Source organism: Homo sapiens, chromosome 2, assembly GCF_000001405.40.
Source record: "Homo sapiens chromosome 2, GRCh38.p14 Primary Assembly".
Lineage (NCBI taxonomy): Eukaryota > Metazoa > Chordata > Mammalia > Primates > Hominidae > Homo > Homo sapiens.
Genome location: NC_000002.12, coordinates 120328192 through 120346128, shown reverse-complemented (window position 1 = coordinate 120346128; position 17937 = coordinate 120328192). Strand labels below are relative to the sequence as shown.

General features: G+C 54.7%; 1 protein-coding gene across 1 annotated transcript, besides 1 other annotated feature; it reads right to left on the bottom strand.

Moving 5' to 3' along the window:
* Positions 1-135: 135 nt before the first annotated feature.
* On the bottom strand, positions 136-17463 carry LOC105373989 (putative cuticle collagen 91). Its single transcript, XM_047446882.1, has 3 exons — positions 17323-17463; positions 2102-2207; positions 136-1242 (listed from the first exon to the last, which is right to left on the bottom strand). Exons 1-3 carry the CDS (start codon positions 17461-17463, stop codon positions 215-217), a joined length of 1275 nt encoding a protein of 424 aa, XP_047302838.1. The 3' UTR covers positions 136-214.
* Positions 2351-2841: a transcriptional cis regulatory region, noted in NCBI's record as "candidate enhancer chr2.4367 targeted for multiplex CRISPR interference". NCBI's record gives its function as "positively regulates RALB gene expression with high confidence in K562 cells {active_cell/tissue: K562}" and the evidence as "EXISTENCE:mutant phenotype evidence [ECO:0000015][PMID:30612741]".
* Positions 17464-17937: the final 474 nt, after the last annotated feature.

Genomic DNA, 17937 nt, shown 5'->3' with positions numbered 1-17937 from the left:
GGCCGGGCTCCGGGCTCCGGGCGCGCCGCCCCGCCCCGCCCCCGCCCGCGCCCGCGCCCGCCCGGGCCTCCGCCCGCCCGCCCGCCGGGAGGGCTGCCGCCGGCTCGCAGGGGGAGGGGGCCGGCCGGGCCTCGGGGGTTCCCGCGCGGCAGGGAAGGGGCGCCGAGGGCCCCGGGGGCCCGAGGGGCGCGCCGGGCGGGGCGGAGGTCGCGGGTCACTGCCGCACGGGCGTCTCGGGGCGCCTCGGCATCTGCAGCCTTCTCCCCATCCTTTCCGCGTCGGGGGCCCCGCAGCCCCGGTTCGGGTGAAGCGAAAGCAGCGTCAGTGGGAGCGGCGGTTCGGCCGGCGGCTGGGGAAGGTGGCGAAAGAGCGGGTCCACGCAACTTGGCTGAGACGGAAGCGAAGGCGCTGGAGCCCCCCGGAGCGGAGCCGGGCGCGGCTTGGCGCGGCGCTGCGGCGGGCGCTGCGGCGGGGCCCCGCGCTCGCACCTGAGCGCCTCGCCCTCACTGCCTCGCGCCAGGAAGGGCCGCCGGCGGCGGAGACGGGCAGGTCGTCCTCGCCGCGGGCCGGCGGGCAGTGGCGCGGAGCAAGCTTGGTGCCCGGGAGAGCCGGCCGCGCGGGCCCGCTCACAGGCGGCGCCGAGCCCTCGGCCGCGGGCCCTGCAGTCCTCCCGGCGCGTCACACGGCAAAGTTGTCTCCAGGATCCCTGGGCGCCGCATCCACGGGCGGGCGGCCGCAGCGCGCTTCGCCGGGGCCTCTGCTCCGCCCGCCTCCTCGCAGCCTCCCTCCTTCCCTCCGCCTGCCTGCGCGGCCCGGCCGGGCGCGGGGCGCCGGGCGAGGAAGGCGAGGGGGAGGCAGGGCCCTTCTCGCTCCTGTCTCTTCTGCCTGCCGCGGCGGCGGCGAGGTCGGCTCGAGCGCCGAAAAGTCTCGCAGCGTCCCCGGGTGCAGTGCCCTCGCTCGCGCTCGTACTGGCACCCGCCGCAGGGCCGGGAGAGAGCGGGCGGGCGGCGGCGGCGTCCCCGCGCCGGGCCGCGGCACGGAGTGCGGAGCTCGCCGAGGAGGAGTTCTTCTCTTTGGTCTCTCTTCTTTTACTCTCCCCGTTTTTTCTCCCAAGGGGGAAAAAAGCCGCACAATCTCCGTATGTGCGCGCGCGTTGAGATAGACGTTGGCAGAAAAAAGGGGGGGAGGGAGGGTGTCGTCCTGCCCGTGCGAGAGGAGACGGTCCGTACCTCCCCGCTCGAGCTTCCCGGGGTGGGGGGAGGAGGAGAAAGCGGAATCTGTTCAGGTTGGGGCTGCCCGCTCCCCGCGCTCACCCCTGCTTCCCACCGCTTTTTTCCTTTCTGCCTTCCCGAGAAGGAGGGGCGAGCCGGCCCTCTCCCCTCCCCTCCTCTCCCCTCCCACCCCCCGCAATGCCGGGCTACTTTTGCTACCTCGAAACTTTCCCACCACGTGGGCGCCCCGGACCCTTGCCCAGCTGGGCGGCCGGCGGCACCGACGGGTTCCAGGCGCTGGACCCAGGCGCTCCTCCCGGCCCACTCCCGCCTCCCCGCCGCCGCGCAGGCCCTGCCTCTGTCCCAGCTGCCGCCCTCCCCAACCAGCAGAGGCGACTCCCGCCGCCGTGGCCGCCCCCGGCCCTCCCGGGGCGCTCCCTCGCGGCCGAGCCTGGCGAGGCGAGCGGGGTGCGGCGCGGCCTGGGATGCCAGAGGCAGGCTCCGCCGGCGGCTGCCGCTCTGGGGCTGCAGTGCCCTCACCCAGCTCCCCGGGCCGCCGTCGCACTGGCCGAGGCGTGGACCCTGCGAGCTGGAGGGCGGGAAGGCAGTAGCCACTGGAGGCCTGGCCAGCGGCTGCGTCTGCTGGGCCAGGAGGAACGCCCCGATTGTGCGGGATCCCAGGCGCGCGGCCCGGAGGCCACTGAGCCTCAGGGCTTGAGGGGCTGGCAGGGTCTACAGTACCCCACCCCCACCCCCACCCCCAGGGAATTCCCACTTTCGCCAGCAGACAAACTTTGGCTTCACTCAGACCCGGGTTCCACTCGGGCTCAGCCACTGCCAGCTTTGCAGGAGTGACCTTGGATAGAGTCCTCACCTTTCCTATCGCCTACCTCTTCTTCTGTGAAGGGACAGTAACACCTGTATCACAGGGGCTGGGTGGGAGGCCCAGCGAGGCAACTGGGCCAGGCTCTTCACACAACCCGATAAAGGATGGTTCTAGGGTCACCGTTCTCAGGCCACCGGACAAGGAACACTGTCAGTGGAAACTTGACTTTCAGACCCGTCCGGGGCCCCAAGTGCAATGCGCTCCTCTGTCCTTCTTCACGCCCCCACCCGGGTCTGGGGCCGCATGACAATGCCCACAGGACACGGAGCCGTACCCCGTTCCCTCGCAACGGGCTAGACTCAAGGCAGAAGCACGATGGGAGTTCATCCTGGCTTTCCCAGGATATTGGGGAATCGGGGACGTCGGAGGCGGAGCGTGGCCTCCTGCCCCCGCCTCCCACCGCCAGTCTCTCGGGCCAGCCCTGCCACCGTGGAGCTCGGCCGGGACCGCAGGCCCGCGGCGGCCTGCAAGTCTGGAAGCCGAGCGCCCCCTCCCTCCCAATCGGAGGAACCGACCCGAAGCTGGCGGGCAAAACTAGGGCGGGTGTGAGTTTGCCGACCGAAGTCAGAAGCAGGGATCCAGGAGGATCCCCGAGATGGCAGCCCTTCTGCCTCCTTAGAATCTCCACCAGGGCCAGAGTCTCTGCTCTCCCATCAGGTTGCCCTTGCCCTGCCTGGGAGCCTGTGGCCCGGGAGCTTCTGCCTCCTGGGAAGCACCTCCTGCATGGTGGCCTTGAGCCAGGCTGGCCACCTCCTGGTTTTGCTTGCATCTGCCCACCCGGCTGTCTCCGTCACCACAGCCACCAGCTACTTGACAAACTCATTCTCAGGCTCTCAGAGTCAGCCCAGTCTCTCCTCCTTGGCGAAGCCTTCCCTGACCCGGTTGTGCCCTGTATAGTTTTTTACCTGAGTGAGGCTCTCAGCCCAGTGCCTGGCTGTTATCTCCTCCCTTGTCTGTCTCCTGCATGGGAAGCAGACTTCCTGGGCCCTATCTGGTGCCAGACCTGGCAGATGATCAGGGAGAACTTATTGAAGTAATGATTGAATGAAGAAATGAGAGAAGCCATAAAGCCAATGAAGGAGTTCACAACCCCCACTCCCCAACACAAGCCCTCACAGGAGTGTTCCTGGCCAGCCCTTCTCATTGTCAGCCCCACCTGGGCTGGACAGGGCTGTGGAAAGGGAGAGAATATGGGTGAGGTTTCCCTGCCTTCAAGCCTTCAAGAAGATGCAGCATCCTGCCCATTGACCTGGCACCAGGGAGGGGCAAAAGCCGCCGTGTCCTTGCTGGTGGGAGGAGGGAAGAGGAGGTTGGGAGGAGGGTCCACACTTTGCTCCCCTAGTGGAGGAGCTGTCAGCCCCGCTGCCAGTCATCTGCTGGGAGGGAACTGGGTCAAGCGGTAGTCAGAAACCATCTGCTCGAGAAGCTGGGATTATCCTGCCCTCTGCTGATCCCCCAGCCCACGGGAGCCAAGGGTGTAAATTGAGTTCTTCCAAATCACCTTGTGTTTCTGGGGGGGGCTCCCCTTCCCCTCCTGAGGGGCAAGGACCTGTTCCTGTTGCTTCAAAGCCTCATTTAGCATCGAGCTTGGTTCTCCTTGTACTGGTAAACTCAGCCTTCCATCTCGGCTAAGGATGTGACTGCGTCTGTCAGTTTTGAATACAATAATGCACATCAGTGCCGTAGCCAACACCCTCCAAGCAGCTGCAAGACCAGGCCACCCTAATGCAGGATGCTGGCTCCCTGCTGCCATCAAGGAACTCCTTGGAGAAGGCAGGAAGGAAACATGGCGACACTGTAGATTCGGGCTTGCAGAAGTTGGAAGAGTACAGAGCACTTCCTCTCACGCACGCCTTTTTTTTTTTTTTTTTTTTTTTTTTTTTTTTGCATAACCCATCACTATCTGTTGAGGATGATGGAAACGTCCAAAAGTGACAAGGCAAACCATATACGTGAGCCTTAGGGCTCATTTGCAAAACAAATTGAGAACCCAGGTGCAGTTCTTGGCCCTGCAGCTCCTGCAAGGTGTGGAGTGGAGAGAAGGTCTTTGCACCACTAGGCACTAGGGTTCTGGCTGGAAGAAGGCCTTCGGCAGAGTTGGGCTTAGGGACCTGGCATGTATTTTTCTGTCACTGAAGCCACTCTTGCCAAGTTTCACCATCATATGTCACACCTCTCCAGAGCAACTCGATCTCTGCACAGAGGAGGTGCGTGCCAGGCCCAGTGCAGCAGTGTCCTGCTCAGCCAGCAGCCCTGGACACTGGCAATGGACGGCCTCAGCCTGGAGCCAGGTGGGAAGGAGAACCCAGCCAAGAGTGCCTCCTAGGGTTGGGGGTCAAGCTGGCCTTTGTAAGAGCTCAGAGACCAACATGGAGCCCCACAGAATGCCCCAAGGCCACCTCATGCCTTTGAGGTCACAGACTCAAGTCCTTGATGAAAGAGTGAACACAGGAGGGTTATTTTGATAAGACAGTCCTGTATTTCTTACCAGGGCAGCTGGGTGCCTCCTACCTCAGGAGGGCCCTGGCAGCCATCTGCATCCATAAACCCAGCAGTGGCCTCAGTGAGGATGCTTATTATCTCTGGTAGCTCATGGGCTCGGGGGGCCAAGACCTATGTTATTCATCTGTCACTGTCCAGTGTCCCGCACCGCACCTGCCTTGGTGAGTGCTTATGGACTGAATGAAGTAGGGGCATCACATGGGGCAGACAGAGGAGCTGAGGTGCCCAGTGTGGCTGGGCCAAGACCCTGTAGGTCAGCAGCAGGCCCAGGACTCCAGCACAGGCCCTGCGTTCTGGTCAGCTTGGACGGCAAGCCACTCCATGCTTCCAGGTGTGTGCTGCTGTCCCCTCCCAGCAGGTGTAAGCAGGTGGACACAGGTATATCATACCTGCTCATGTCCCCATTCTATTTCCTAAACAGGCTTTAACACAAAAGCATTTCATAGGGCTACTCATCAATTGTGGTACTTTTGAGATGATGTCCTCAGTTCCCCAACCCCTGAAATCTATTGTACGTCAGCAAGAACCATACAAACTCTTGTGTTCTGGGCCTCATTCTCAGTAAGACTGGGGAGCCTCGATGTAGCTAGGTAGAGAGGACCCACTTCTGGTTCATCCAGCAAGGGCCTTCAGACCAATTCGTGGGCTACTGGAGGTTCTGTGAGAGTAGAATTCAACATGTTTTGAACATCCAGGAAATTTGTGAACATTCAGGAAATATTTCAACAGCAGGCCCCTGAGGATGGCTGTCCAAGTTGGTATATTTTCTAGAAAAAAAAAGAGAGGTGCTAAATACAGCAGTTGGTTAGTGACCCACTTCAAATTGCTAATCACAAACTATTCCTAGCACAGAATTCCTTCCCTTTCATTCAGTAAACACACTGAAATAGCTGCTGGAGATCCAGCAAGGCATAAGTCAGGCCCTGACACCCCCACCCCCAAGTCTACTGGGAAGACCAGTGCATGAGCAGGGAGATCCTCCCTCTCCCAGAGAGACCACAGGGATAAAGCTGAGGGGGAAAGACACCTAAGTCTACCAGAGGTGTCTCAGGGGAGGCAGGATTTGAACTGAGCCATGAAGCACAAGGAGGCATTTTCCAGGTGGCCCCCAGGTGGACATGAGAGAGACAAGGTGGACAGGAACTGAGGTCCCTGGGATGAACTGCGTGAGAGTAGGTCTAGGGGAGGAACCAGGTCAAGTCCAGTGTAGCTAGGCCTGGGTTTGTCAGCCCAGAAAGAGGTGGTAAGGCCAGGAGGACATGTGACCCCTTGCAGGGGTGTTTTAGGACAGTGGCAGCACTCTAGTGCCTCAGAGACCCAGCCTATCGGGGAGGCACTGAGGGCTAGCATGAGAACCAAAAGGGAGGAAGGAGAGGGATTGGAGTCCTTCCATCAGGACACAGGCCTGGGCAGCTCATGGGAGGAGGGGCTGAGCAAGAAAAGCTGAGGAGCCCCCTCCTCCCATTCCTGCCGTGGGAGCGCCTGTAGATGGCTTCCGGGTGCCCATGTGTGGCCGAGAACCCAGCGAGCTGGCTATTTTGCTACTAACAAAGGAAAAGTAGAGCATTTCTAAGGTTTCTTTGTTTAGGGTCTCCAAGCCCAAGTGCGTCCACTCTGGGAATACTTGGGTCCAAGTACCAAACTCCCCTTAAATGGCATGCCTCGGTCCTCAGCTGTCCTTGAGCTTCAAACTGACCTTTTTTCCATCTACTCCTCGGAGGACGAGAAGTGACCTGCCTGTCCAATGGGCCACCAACAAAGAAAAATGCACAGCTGACCCCAGATAGCATTTCTGAGGTTCTGATGGGTGACAGGGACAACACAGAAACCAAAGAAATTATGCTTGTCTACAGACAAGACATCTTTTTTGCTTTTTTGTTGTTGTTGTTGTTGTTAAGACGGAGTCTCGCTGTGTCACCAGGCTGGAGTGCAGTGGCATGATCTCAACTCACTGCAACCTCTGCCTCCCGGGTTCAAGCGATTCTGCCTCAACCTCCCGAGTAGCTGGGACTACAGGCGCGCGCCACCACGCCCGGCTAATTTTTGTATTTTTAGTAGTGACAGGGTTTCACCATGTTGGCCAGGATGGTTTTGATCCGACCTTGTGATCCGCCCACCTCAGCCTCCCCTTTTTTGCTTTCTAAACAGAAGCAAGAAACTCATCAATCATTTCATGTATATGAAAACTGAGGAACCTCTGTCTCCAACAGCCCACACCCCCTCCAGCTGCACCCATATGTTCCGTATTCATGGAACTCACTTCCTGTGAAGGTACCACGGTAAAGCAGATCAAAAAGAGAGCCACCAGAATGTTGGGCTTCGCATAAGTTCTCCCCACCCTGACATAAGACTCTAATTGAATTTTCGCAGTCAGTAAAATGGTCTCTGTCTCGCATTGAAGGGAACTCCACAGGGGGAACCACCGTGGCTGTAGAAGGAGAAAAAAACAGAGCCATTAGCAGCTTCAGCTTCCTGCAGCCAGGACCTATTGACTGGCTGGTAAAGCTCTGTTAATTTCAAGTCCTCTCAATGTTCAGCCCCTTCCCTTTTGGTCTGGGCACTGGGCAGGCTCCTGGTTCACACCATGCTCCCTGTCTTTCCTCCTCCTTCCCCACCCAGGCCCCCAAACTGCGAGTCAGGTGCTGGTCTGAGAAAGGAGGCATTTCTCACCTACCTCCCTAGCCCAGGTCATTCAACCTCTACAGTGCCTTCTCTTCCCCATATATTAGATTATGGGTTGAAATGCCAAAGGAAAAAAAAATGAATGGAAAGGGAAGGATTTGATTTTTGCTTGATGGATTTATTTATATCTAATTAGGAGGCCCCACTGTGAAGGGGATAAAGTTTTAGTTCTGGCCTATTGAAGGGCAAACACCTATTGTGAACTTGCCGTCTGCGTTGCTCCAAGATTCCCAGAGTCGAGCCACATGCATTCGTGATGCCAGTAGAACAGTGAGCAGAGCCCAAGCCACCAGGCACTGTCCTCAACCCTCCACCTGTCAGCAGGGCCTGTCACGCAAACTGGTCTCAAGCCAGGGATTGGAGGATGTGCCCTTTGACACCTTTCCAAACAAGAAGAAAAAAGAAAGATGTAAAGATAGACCAGATAAATAGATAGCATCTTTAGGATGAAGAAATACAAAACATTAAAATTTCATTTGACCTTCATCTCCCTTAGGGTGTCTAATGTTTCTCATACCCCTACAACTTCCTACTGATTCAGAAATAACAGCACAGAGCAAGACACTTAGTTAGAAATAAAAAGAAGAACCTGCCAGGCATAGAAATACTGAAACACTCATCAACTGACATTAAGTAACACTGGTCAAAAGAGGTGTCACGTGCATTATTACACAACCTCTTTAGGACATCATTTGTATCTGTACATAATGTAGTCAAACTGTTATTTACCTGAGCTCAGCTAACCATGAATCTTTTTGTAATTAAATCTATGAACACTGTCAGACACACTCACCAATCTTGCACACATTGGTGATAACTAGCCCTCCTCTCCAGCCACAGAATATATTCTTTTTTTTTCTTTTTTCTTTTTTTTTTTTGAGACAGAGTCTTGTCTGTCACCCAGGCTGGACTGCAGTGGCACGATCTCGGCTCACTGCCACCTCCACCTCCCGGGTTCAAGCAACTCTCGTGCCTCAGCCTTCCAAATAGCTGGGACTACAGGCACCAGCCACCACGCCCGGTTGATTATTGTATTTTTAGTAGAGATGGGGTTTTGCCATATTGGTCAGGCTGGTCTCAAACTCCTGACCTAGGTGATCCACCTGCCTTGGCCTCCCAAAGTGCTGGGATTACAGGCATGAGCCACCACTCCCGGCCTCCAACCACAGAACATATTCTGGGTTCGGGGCCCCTCAGGATGGTCTTTAGCCCTTCCTGATGCCTCCAACTATTGTTCAAAAAGGTTCTTGTATTCATTCCACATGTACGCAGAGGACCTAGTAGGAACAGAACACTGTACCAGGCAATGACTGGGCTACGGCACTGTCCTGACTTCAGATCAATTAGCAGGGAGGGCAGACACCTTGGCAGCAAGCACTAGGCCCCGCAGAAGGCAGTACGGAGGGAGCAAATGAGCAGGACAGGCCCTGGCACAGTGGAGCTTGCAGGAGATGGAGGGCCAACGGGAGCTTGTGGGAGAGCTGCCTGGGCCTGCGCTGGGGGCTGGAGCCACCCTGGAGGAAGTAGGGCCCAGCCAGTCAGGGTCGGGGAACAGGGTCTGGCCAGGGCCTTCCAGACAGCAGATTCCTAAAGGCCAGACTGGGGTCGTGGTGAGTTCGCGGGGTCGTGGTGACTTCGCAGTGCCGCCACACCAGCCCTGAGCTGCTTCCTCTGCTCTGCGTTTGTGGGACAGAAGAGAACCTTGGGCACTTAAGCCGCCGCTATTTGGGATTTTCCACTATGTGCAGCCAGACCTAATGGTAACTGAGTCAAGAGGCATAGGGTTGAGATGGGAGCTGGGAAGCAGGAGAAAACGAAGATGAGAAACAGAAAGGGGCAGTCAGGGAGGTGGAAGGAAACGAGGACAGGTGGTGTCCTGCAGCCAGGGGGTGGCAGGGAGTCCAGGCACAGCAGCGTGGGCTCTGAAGGAGGCAGGAGAGGGCACTGCAGGTGACAGTATGCAAGAGAGGGCAGGAGGTGGGTGGTCTCTGAGTGTAAAAAGTGACCAGAACAGGGAAGACGCTGGGGATGCATAAGGGCGTGGTCTGCCCTCCTGATTCAGGTCCACAGGGAGCCCAGAGCTGCGAGACTCTTCAGCTGGGAAGCCCCCAAAAGTGGGAGCTAAGGGATGGTTGATGTAACTGGCTTCTGACCGATGATGCCAGAGCCGGGCAAACACTGGAGCCATTTCCTCAAGCAGGTGCCTATGCCCGGTCTGCCCTGGGTATGGGGTGTGCTGCTTTGGGAGAAAAGTGGTGGCAGCCGAGCCTGGCCCATAAAACACACAGACTGATGAGCTGCAGCTCTATGTTATGTTACAGTAGGAAGAACCATTCTCCAATGGAGATGTCATTCATTTCTTTACTGCCTCACTCCTATCTTGCAATATTTTTCAGTGATTCTCCCCTATTCAGGAAAAAGATCTAATTCCTTCTGCTGCCTAGGAGGCTTTTTATCCAGCCCCTACTGCCTCCAGCTTCCCAGGAAGTAGCCCCTTCCTCCTCCCCCGCAACTCACGCACTGACTCTCTCTTCTCCAGCCACTGAAAGCTACTCCAATGGACCTAACAGACCCCGGGTCTCTAAAATGACCAATCTTCCCAGCTTGCCTGGGATGAAGGGTTTTCCTGGGCCATAGGACTTTCTGTGGTGAAATCAGGACAGTCCCAGACAAACCAGGTCATGCTACATACCTCGCCCATTCATATCTTTACTTCTACTATTTGCTCAGTCTGCAGCTCCTTCCCCTGAGCCTTGTCTGTGAGGAAGACACTTGACAGCTTGCCTCCAGCATCACTGCCTCCCCAGAGCTTCTCCTAATCAGCCCCTGACTCTATTAAAACCACAGAACCTGCCAGGTGGTCCTCTGTGCCTTTTTGGTAGCCTGCATAGAGCTCCAGCACAGCACTTCAATACTTTACTGTCTAGGCCAGGCGCGGTGGCTCACCCCTGTAATCCCAACACTTTGGGAGGCTGAAGCGGGCGAATCACTTGAGGTCAGGAGTTCGAGACCAGCCTGGCCAACATGGGGAAACACTGCCTCTACAAAAAATACAAAAATCAGCCAGGCGTGGTGGCACGCGCCTGTAATCCCAGCTACTCAGGAGGCTGAGGCAGGAGAATAGCTTGAACCCGGGAGGCGGAGGTTGCAGTGAGCCAAAATTGTGCCACTGCACCCCAGCCTGGGGGACAGAGCAAGACTCTGTCTCAAAAAAAAAAAAATACTTTACTGTCCAGATGTGCTGCATTCTCTGTCATGCCCTCTAATGTCACACATGCCTGTTGAAATGTGGCCCTGATGCCAGACACTTGCCACTCTCCATTCTCCCTTCTCCCTTTCTTCCTCATCCAGACAATGACAAGCCCCTAGGATTCTGCCTTCTAAGTCTCTACTGAAGCCTCCTGAGGCTGGCCGCAGTGTTCCTGTATTTTGGTACCTCAGTCTTCTATCTACACACGCTCTTGTCCACTCTGAGCTTCCAGAGCTCAGACAAGGAGCTACTCTATCTTTACATCCCAGTGCTGCAGCAGGCCCAGCAAGTCATGGGTGAGCCACAAGTGTTTGCTGGGCTATTTTCAAATACAGCAGAAGGGATTCTGTGATGTGTGGCCACACCCAAGACCAGTTTTTTTCAGAAACTTCTGAAAAGTCATCTCATTCCACACATTCATTTAACAAATAACTTACTAAACACGTATCATATGCAAAGCCTAGGAGATAAAGCAGTGAACAAGACAGTCAAAACCTCTGTCCTCATGAAACTTACAATCTAAGGGGGGAAACAGACAATAAGCATGTTTTACAAAGTAATCTCAAAGAGTGAAACTGCTATGAAATTTTTTTTTTTTTGAGACGGAGTCTCGCTCTGTCGCCCAGGCTGGAGTGCAGTGGCACGATCTTGGCTAACTGCAAGCTCCACCTCCCGGGTCCATGCCATTCTCCTATCTCAGCCTCCCGAGTAGCTGGGACTACAGGCGCCTGCACCACACCCAGCTAATTTTTTGTATTTTTTGTAGAGACGGGGTTTCACTGTGTTAGCCAGGATGGTCTCCATCTCCTGACCTCGTGATCTGCCCACCTTGGCCTCCCAAAGTGCTGGGATTACAGGTGTGAGCCACCACACCAGGCCAGTGCTATGAAATTTGTTAAAGGAGCTTAAGGAGAAGCAGACTGGTTAGGGGCTACATAAGTCAGGAAAGGCTTCTCTGAAAAGGTCAAAAGATACAAAAGAAGAAGTCACAGAGATCTGGGGGAAGAGCTTCAAGATGGGACTAAGCTTAGAATGTTCAAGGAGCATTGAGAGAAAACCAGCATGCATGATACATGGCAAAGCTAGAATAGAGTGGTTGAAGGAAATTAGAGAGGTCGAGGCCAGATTACTTCAAGCTTTGCAGGTTTTACTTCTTAGGATTAGATTCAATCAGCCTCAATCAGTGGCTAACACAAGATATTTCTTACATCAGAGAAGTTCAGAATTAGGAATTCCAAGCCTGGTATGATGACTCTGTGGTCATCTGGCAGCTCTGCTTCATCTATCTCTCTTATGAAGTTTTCATCGTCAAGGTTGCTTTATATCACAAGATGGCTGCTGGAGCACCATCCATCACATCTGTATTCTAAGCAGTAGAAAAGAGGAAAGCATGGAACAGGAAAAATTTTGCATTCTCCCAGCTGAGCCAGCTCCCTTGAAAGGACAATACCAGAAGTCTCACTCAACAGCTCTGCTTTCATCTCATTGGCCACCCCTAGGTTATAAAGGAGGCTGGGAAATACAGGCATTTAACTGGGTACTGTGCTGCTCCAAATAAAAGTAGGGCTCAATCAGAAAGTAAGACACACAGAATAAATACTGGATGTAAACCCCGTCTCTACTAAAAATACAAAAATTAGCCAGGCGTGGTGACATGCACCTGTAGTCCCAGCTACTCAGGAGGCTGAGGCAGGAGAATCGCTTGAACCCGGGAGGTGGAGGTTGCAGTGAGCTGAGGTGGCGCCATTGCACTTCAGCCTGGGTGACAGAGCGAGACTCCGTCTCAAATAAATAAATATAAATAAATAAGAATAAATACTGGGTGTGCCCAAGGGTGTGGAAAGGAGCCTGAGCTGCATTCTAACTACAATGAGAAGGATTTAAAAAGTGCTGCTATGATTTGATTTACCAGGTGAGAAGACCGCTATGGCTACAGATGGAGGGGGAACTAGAGCCGGGAGGAGTGGAAGCAGGGAGATGAGTTAGGTGCTGTTGCAATAATCCAAGTGAGAGATGAGGGTGGCTGGGCTAGCGCTTCAGCGTGGAGGTGGTGAGAAGTGGCTGGATTTGCCTCAGCTGACAGACCTGGCTGAAAGATTGGGTGTGGATATGAAGGAAAGACACAAGAAGATGGATCCCAGGTTATGGGGCTGAGCCAGGAGGAGGATGCCATTCACGGGGCAGGAAGGGATGGGGAGAGACCTAGGACAGTGAAAGTTCTGCTTGGGTATATTGCTTTCGAGAGGCCTGTTAGGTGCCAAGGGCAACTGCTGAAGAGGTAGTTGGATGGGGAAGTTTGGGATTCAGGGCAGAGGTCATACCGTTTGGGGAGCCACCAGTAACTGTCTGGTATTGAAACCCAGGGGCCAGATGAGTTCGCTCAGTGAGAGGGTGTTGATGAAGAGAAGAGGGCCAAGGAGGAACCCTGGGGCACTTTGGCCTTTGAAGGCCAGAGAGCCAGCAAAGGAGGAGGAAAACGGGCCAGCATGGTGGAGAGGGAACGAGGGCCGAGTGCCAAATGCTGCGAGCATGGAGTACCATGAGAACAGGAATGCACCCGGGACGTGGCCACGTGGAGATTGGTAGGGACCCTGATAAGAGCCAAGAGCTATCACAGTAGAGTGGGGGAAGAAGGCCTCGGAAAGAATGGCTGATGAGCAAGTGGACCTGCCAGGAAACTCTTCCCCATGGTGGTGTTGCTGTGGAGGGTGGGACAGAAATGCATGGAGCTAGAAGGAACATGCAGTTGGGAGGGCTCCCCAACCAACAAGCCCTGGGGCTCCCACGCCTCCACCACCCGGCCTCAGTGGTCATTTCACAGTTCCTGTCACTTGCACTCCAGCACAGAGGATATCACAGCCCAGATACCAGAGTTTTTTCCACCCATTCCAAGGATTGGGCTCAGAGGAAACAATTAGAAGCCTCCAGTTACTCTCTGGGGCTCTTAAGAGCTCCTGTCTGGAGACCTGGCCCTCTGGGCTCAGCCGCTAACAAGAGCCATCCCCTGTGTCCCCACGGTGACCGATCAAAGCGCCACCTGTAGCGAGTTATTTAAGGAGAAGAGCTGGGCTTATGGAGGAACCGTGGAAAGATCACAGGCTATCTTCAGAGAAGCTGCTGGTGGAATTCCCAAGTCCTTACTGGGTTTGGGGCTTGATTACCCACTCAGTGCCCAGCTGGTCATCATCATGTTGGCCAACCACCAGAGGGGAAAAAAAATTGCCTCCAAAATTTATCAGCAGCCAGGTCACCACCTTTGCTGTGAGATGAAACTACATCTGAAGAATATTTATTCTGGGGAGCAGAGAAGGGGAACGGCAGAATGGTTCATTTCAAACTTTAGTGGCTTTGTCTGGGTTTTGCTCAATCCCCAGCTAACGGCTAAACTATCTGAACTCCAAACCAAAATAAATACACCTCTGAAGTTAAACAATGTTATTACATCAAGGCTGATGTAATGGTTCCAAACCATGAGAAAATAATATTCCAGCATAATGGGTCCCTCTGTTTAGCCAGAGGAAAGGCTGGGCTTCTGGCTCCTTGTCAACTGGAATTTGGCGTTTTCTATCATTGTTGAGCTGGGTGTGTGTATCTGTGTGTGGGACCTAATTAAAGATGCTTTAGGACTTGTGGTGTGAAAGCGTACAGATAGATTTTAAAATATAATTGAGTGGTACAGAGTAGGTCTCTGGACCAACCCAAAGAAGGGCCCCTGCCTGCCCTCCCCCTTGGGTCCCTCCCAGAATCAGCTTCCCCCAGAGTGACATTGAGGATTTCGATGGCCCCTCCAGGTTCAGGGATGGAAAAAGGTTATGTGGCTTAAAGGCTGTTTCATTGTGAAAGACAACTTCCAAATAAAAGAGAAAGTGGTACCCGCCCCCAGGAACATATCTGCACGTGCTGCTCTGCACCCTCGGGTGTCTCCAGGCAGACGGAAGCTGACTCCCACAGCCGAGCTGAGCTGAGCAGGGCACAGGCTTAACAGGGAACATCCACTGGGTTGACACTGCACCAATGGTGCCTACAGGCGGGCAGCTAGCTCTGCCCCTGGGCTTGAGGGCTTGGTCCCTAGGGCTCTGTTCCCGTGTACACTTTACCAGGGTCAAGTCAGGCAGACAGTGCCTGGAAGACGCGCCCTCTCACCCTCCCCCACCTCGCTGGAGGCTGCCGTAGGAAGACTTTGACATAGGGAGTCCCAGGGTGCCCGGTCAGGTTCACAAGTCAGAGACGTCTGCCAACTAATGAAACTGAGCGCTTCCGATTTCAGGTTCTCCATAGAGTGCAAAAGGCTTTTTGGTTTGGGTTTTATTTTTAACATACCATTCATCAACACCAGCTGTCAACCACATGCAGAACTCACAGCTAGCCTCTGCCCCAGGCCCATGGGCTTCTTAATCAAATCAGGCCGAGGCATGCGTGGGGAACAAACATGCATTGTGTCCTATCTCACTGAATCCTTACCACAAAATTATCATTAATCCCTCTTTGCAGATGAGGAAACAGAGGCTCAGGGAGGTTTAGGAACTGGCCCGGCATTCCTTGTGTGGCATCTGGCAGCGCTACAGACCTCATCTGTTAGATGGGGATGACATCCCGCTCCGCGGAAGCTGTGTTAGTTTGCTAGGGCTGCCCTTACAAAGTAGCACAGACGGGATGGCTCAAACAACAAGATTTATTTTCTCACAGTTCTGGAGGCTGGAAGTCCAAGATCAAGGTGTCGGCACGGTTGATGTCTCCTGCAGCCTCTCTCCTGGGCTTGCAGGTGGCCGTCCTCTCCCTGTGTCTTCACACGGTCTTCCCTTTGTGTGTGTCTGTGTCTTAATCTCCTCTTCTTATAAGGACACCAGTCACACTGGATTAGGGCCCAACCATATGACCTCTTTTTACTTTGATTATCTCTTTAGAAGCCCTATCTCCAAATCTCCAAATACAGTCACCTTCTGAAGTGCTGGGAGTTCAGGCTTGGACATATGAGTTTCGAGGGGACATGGCTCACAGCAGAGGTGCCGGCAGGGTCAGGGGAGATGATGTAGGCTGAGTGCCTGGAGCTGCATGTGCCCCCGGCAGCCTCACTTGGGTCAGGGGTGGGATGGTGTACAGCAGGTTCTAAGAACCATCACCTGTCTTTACTGGGTGCCTGCTCCACTGCAGGCCATGGTGGCTGTGGGATGGCCTGGATAGGAAAGTGCAGCGAAGACCAGCTGTTCCCAACACAGCGGAGCCATTCCAGAGAGCCAGAGCAGGCAGGTGGGGCTCTGCAAATATGTTCAACCCCCCACACCCCTGCCGACAGCACAAGACTGTGCAGGCTCTCCCGGTGCCCTACAACCTTGGGCTGGGACCTCTCTCCGACAGCCAAAGCAACCTGGACACCCTCCAGTTCTCATTTCTCCCCTATCCCCAAGCAGCATGTAGCGGGGGCCAGCAAGAATTTGCTGAATGAGTGAAGAGATGTAAGTTCTGACGGATTCACTCCTCCTGCTCTGCCCTCATTTCTTTCCTACTGAAACTTCATTTCTTCCAGAACAAGAGGCTGGGCTCAGTAGGATTCTGGACTGGACTCACTGTCCACCAGCAGGGCTGGGGCACTTCCCAGTCGGGGCTGCCCCTGGAGTGTCAGGCCCCTGGCAGACAGGGAGCAAGACCTCCCGAAAGCCCCACACACACACTCACACTCTCCATTCTTGGCTCACTCCACCCTTGCAGCGAGGATGGCAGGCTCCTATTTCCCCCAACACACCAGCAGATGTTCAAGAGGGGCATCCAAAACCCCTCGGGAATGAGCAGCAACCAGATCTGAAGTGAGAAAGTGTCAGTGCCTCCCGATGGAGGGGCCTGGAACAAGTTACCCGGGGGAGGCTTCTCTGCAGGTTTTACCACCAGGCCTGACCCTCGGCTGTCTGGATCAGCTTAGGTGTGGTCTCACTTCAAGGCAGGAGGGAGAACTAGATGACCTTTTGGGTCCCTTCCTGCCCTGGGATTTCAGGCAGACATTAACATCTGGGGAGTGACAGTAGCTGAGAGATCCCAGTGGCCCAAAGCCAGCAGTAACAGGGTGGCCCGGTCTGGGCAATCCACCTGGAGCTAACCAACAGGTAGAGTTGCAAATAGCAATGAGCCTGGCAGCTGCCAGGATTACCCATTTGACAAAGCAAGAAGCGGTGGATGGAACTGCTCACCCTCTGAGGAAACAGGAGCAGGATCCCTGACTGCCTGGCATGGGTGTGCGTCCCCGCAGGCGTCACAAGAGGCATGCACACAGACAGTATCTGTGCGAAGGGGATGGGAGGCCTGGTTGGGAAGCCTCTCCTCTGAGACGCTAACAAGCCTGATAAGAATCACAGCTTCCAAGCAAGACCTATACATGGTTATAGCACCTCATTTTCCCTCACCATATCCTCTAAGGGGCAGAGAGCATGGGGGCCCCCTCAGTTTCATGGCTGGGAGAAAAGAAAGAGTAAGAGATGGTCAAGAGCACATCACAGTTGCCCAAAACCCAGCACATTTGCACCTACTGCTGTGGTCGCCAGGCCTTTCTAGTCACCTTTTGGTTCTAGCCATCTCTGGAATTAGATTGGCATTTTTTTAAAGCCTGGTATAGAATAGCACTTTATCAATCCCCCGCTAACCTTATCAGTCAGTCAGCCAACCTACATACATTTTTGAAGGTCTACACTTGAGCTAGAACCCAGAAGATGTGGTGAAAACAATGATACCTTCTTTCAAAGAGCTTCATGTTGGGAACTCAAGACAGATACAAGAGAAACAATGGTAGCCAAGGCAAGACTCACATGATGAAGGACCCAGGCAACTTGGGTGTCCAGAGGAGTCAGAGGCCTTTGGGGCAGGCAGGGAGGCCCGGGGAACAGGCAGGGCACATGCAAGGCCTGGAGGGCAGCTTCGAAGGAGAAGTTGCTGGAGATGAACGACATTCTAGGCCACCAGCAAGGGTATGGCGGAGACACAAGCACGTAATGGGCACGAGCCAGAGGAGGTGGGTGGGGCAGGCCTCCTAGGTTAAGGAGGGGAGCTGCCACCAGATGCTGTAACAGCTTGGGAGCTGGGGAAGGTTTCTGCACAAAGCAGGACTTCCTGAAAGCATTTCTGAAGTGACTGCTGCACACAGATGTGCATCATTTTCCGGCGTGGAGGAGACCTTCAATGGATGTGCACACCATTGAACCGCCTAGTACAGCACCAACTGTGAAAGAGATGGAGGCTGTTTCACTGTCCAGGGCACTGAAGGCTCCAAAGAGAGCCCCTGGGAGCCCCGGCGCTTCTCTGGTTCTTCAGCGCCTGTGGCTTTCTCAACAGGTTAATAACACAAGCTTGCGCACACACAAGTTGAGTAAGACACAAGAACATACTAATTGACTTCACTTTCGTTAAAACCATGTATTTGACAT

Excerpts from the sequence above, each read along its gene's own strand:
- LOC105373989 (XM_047446882.1), bottom strand. The coding sequence starts at position 17,463 with ATGTCGTTCATCTCCAGCAACTTCTCCTTCGAAGCTGCCCTCCAGGCC. Across the intron at positions 2,208-17,322 it reads TTGCCTGGGTCCTTCATCAT|AACCATCCTTTATCGGGTTG; the intron begins GTGAGTCTTGCC and ends CGGTGACCCTAG. Across the intron at positions 1,243-2,101 it reads GTCCCTTCACAGAAGAAGAG|CTCGAGCGGGGAGGTACGGA; the intron begins GTAGGCGATAGG and ends CACCCCGGGAAG.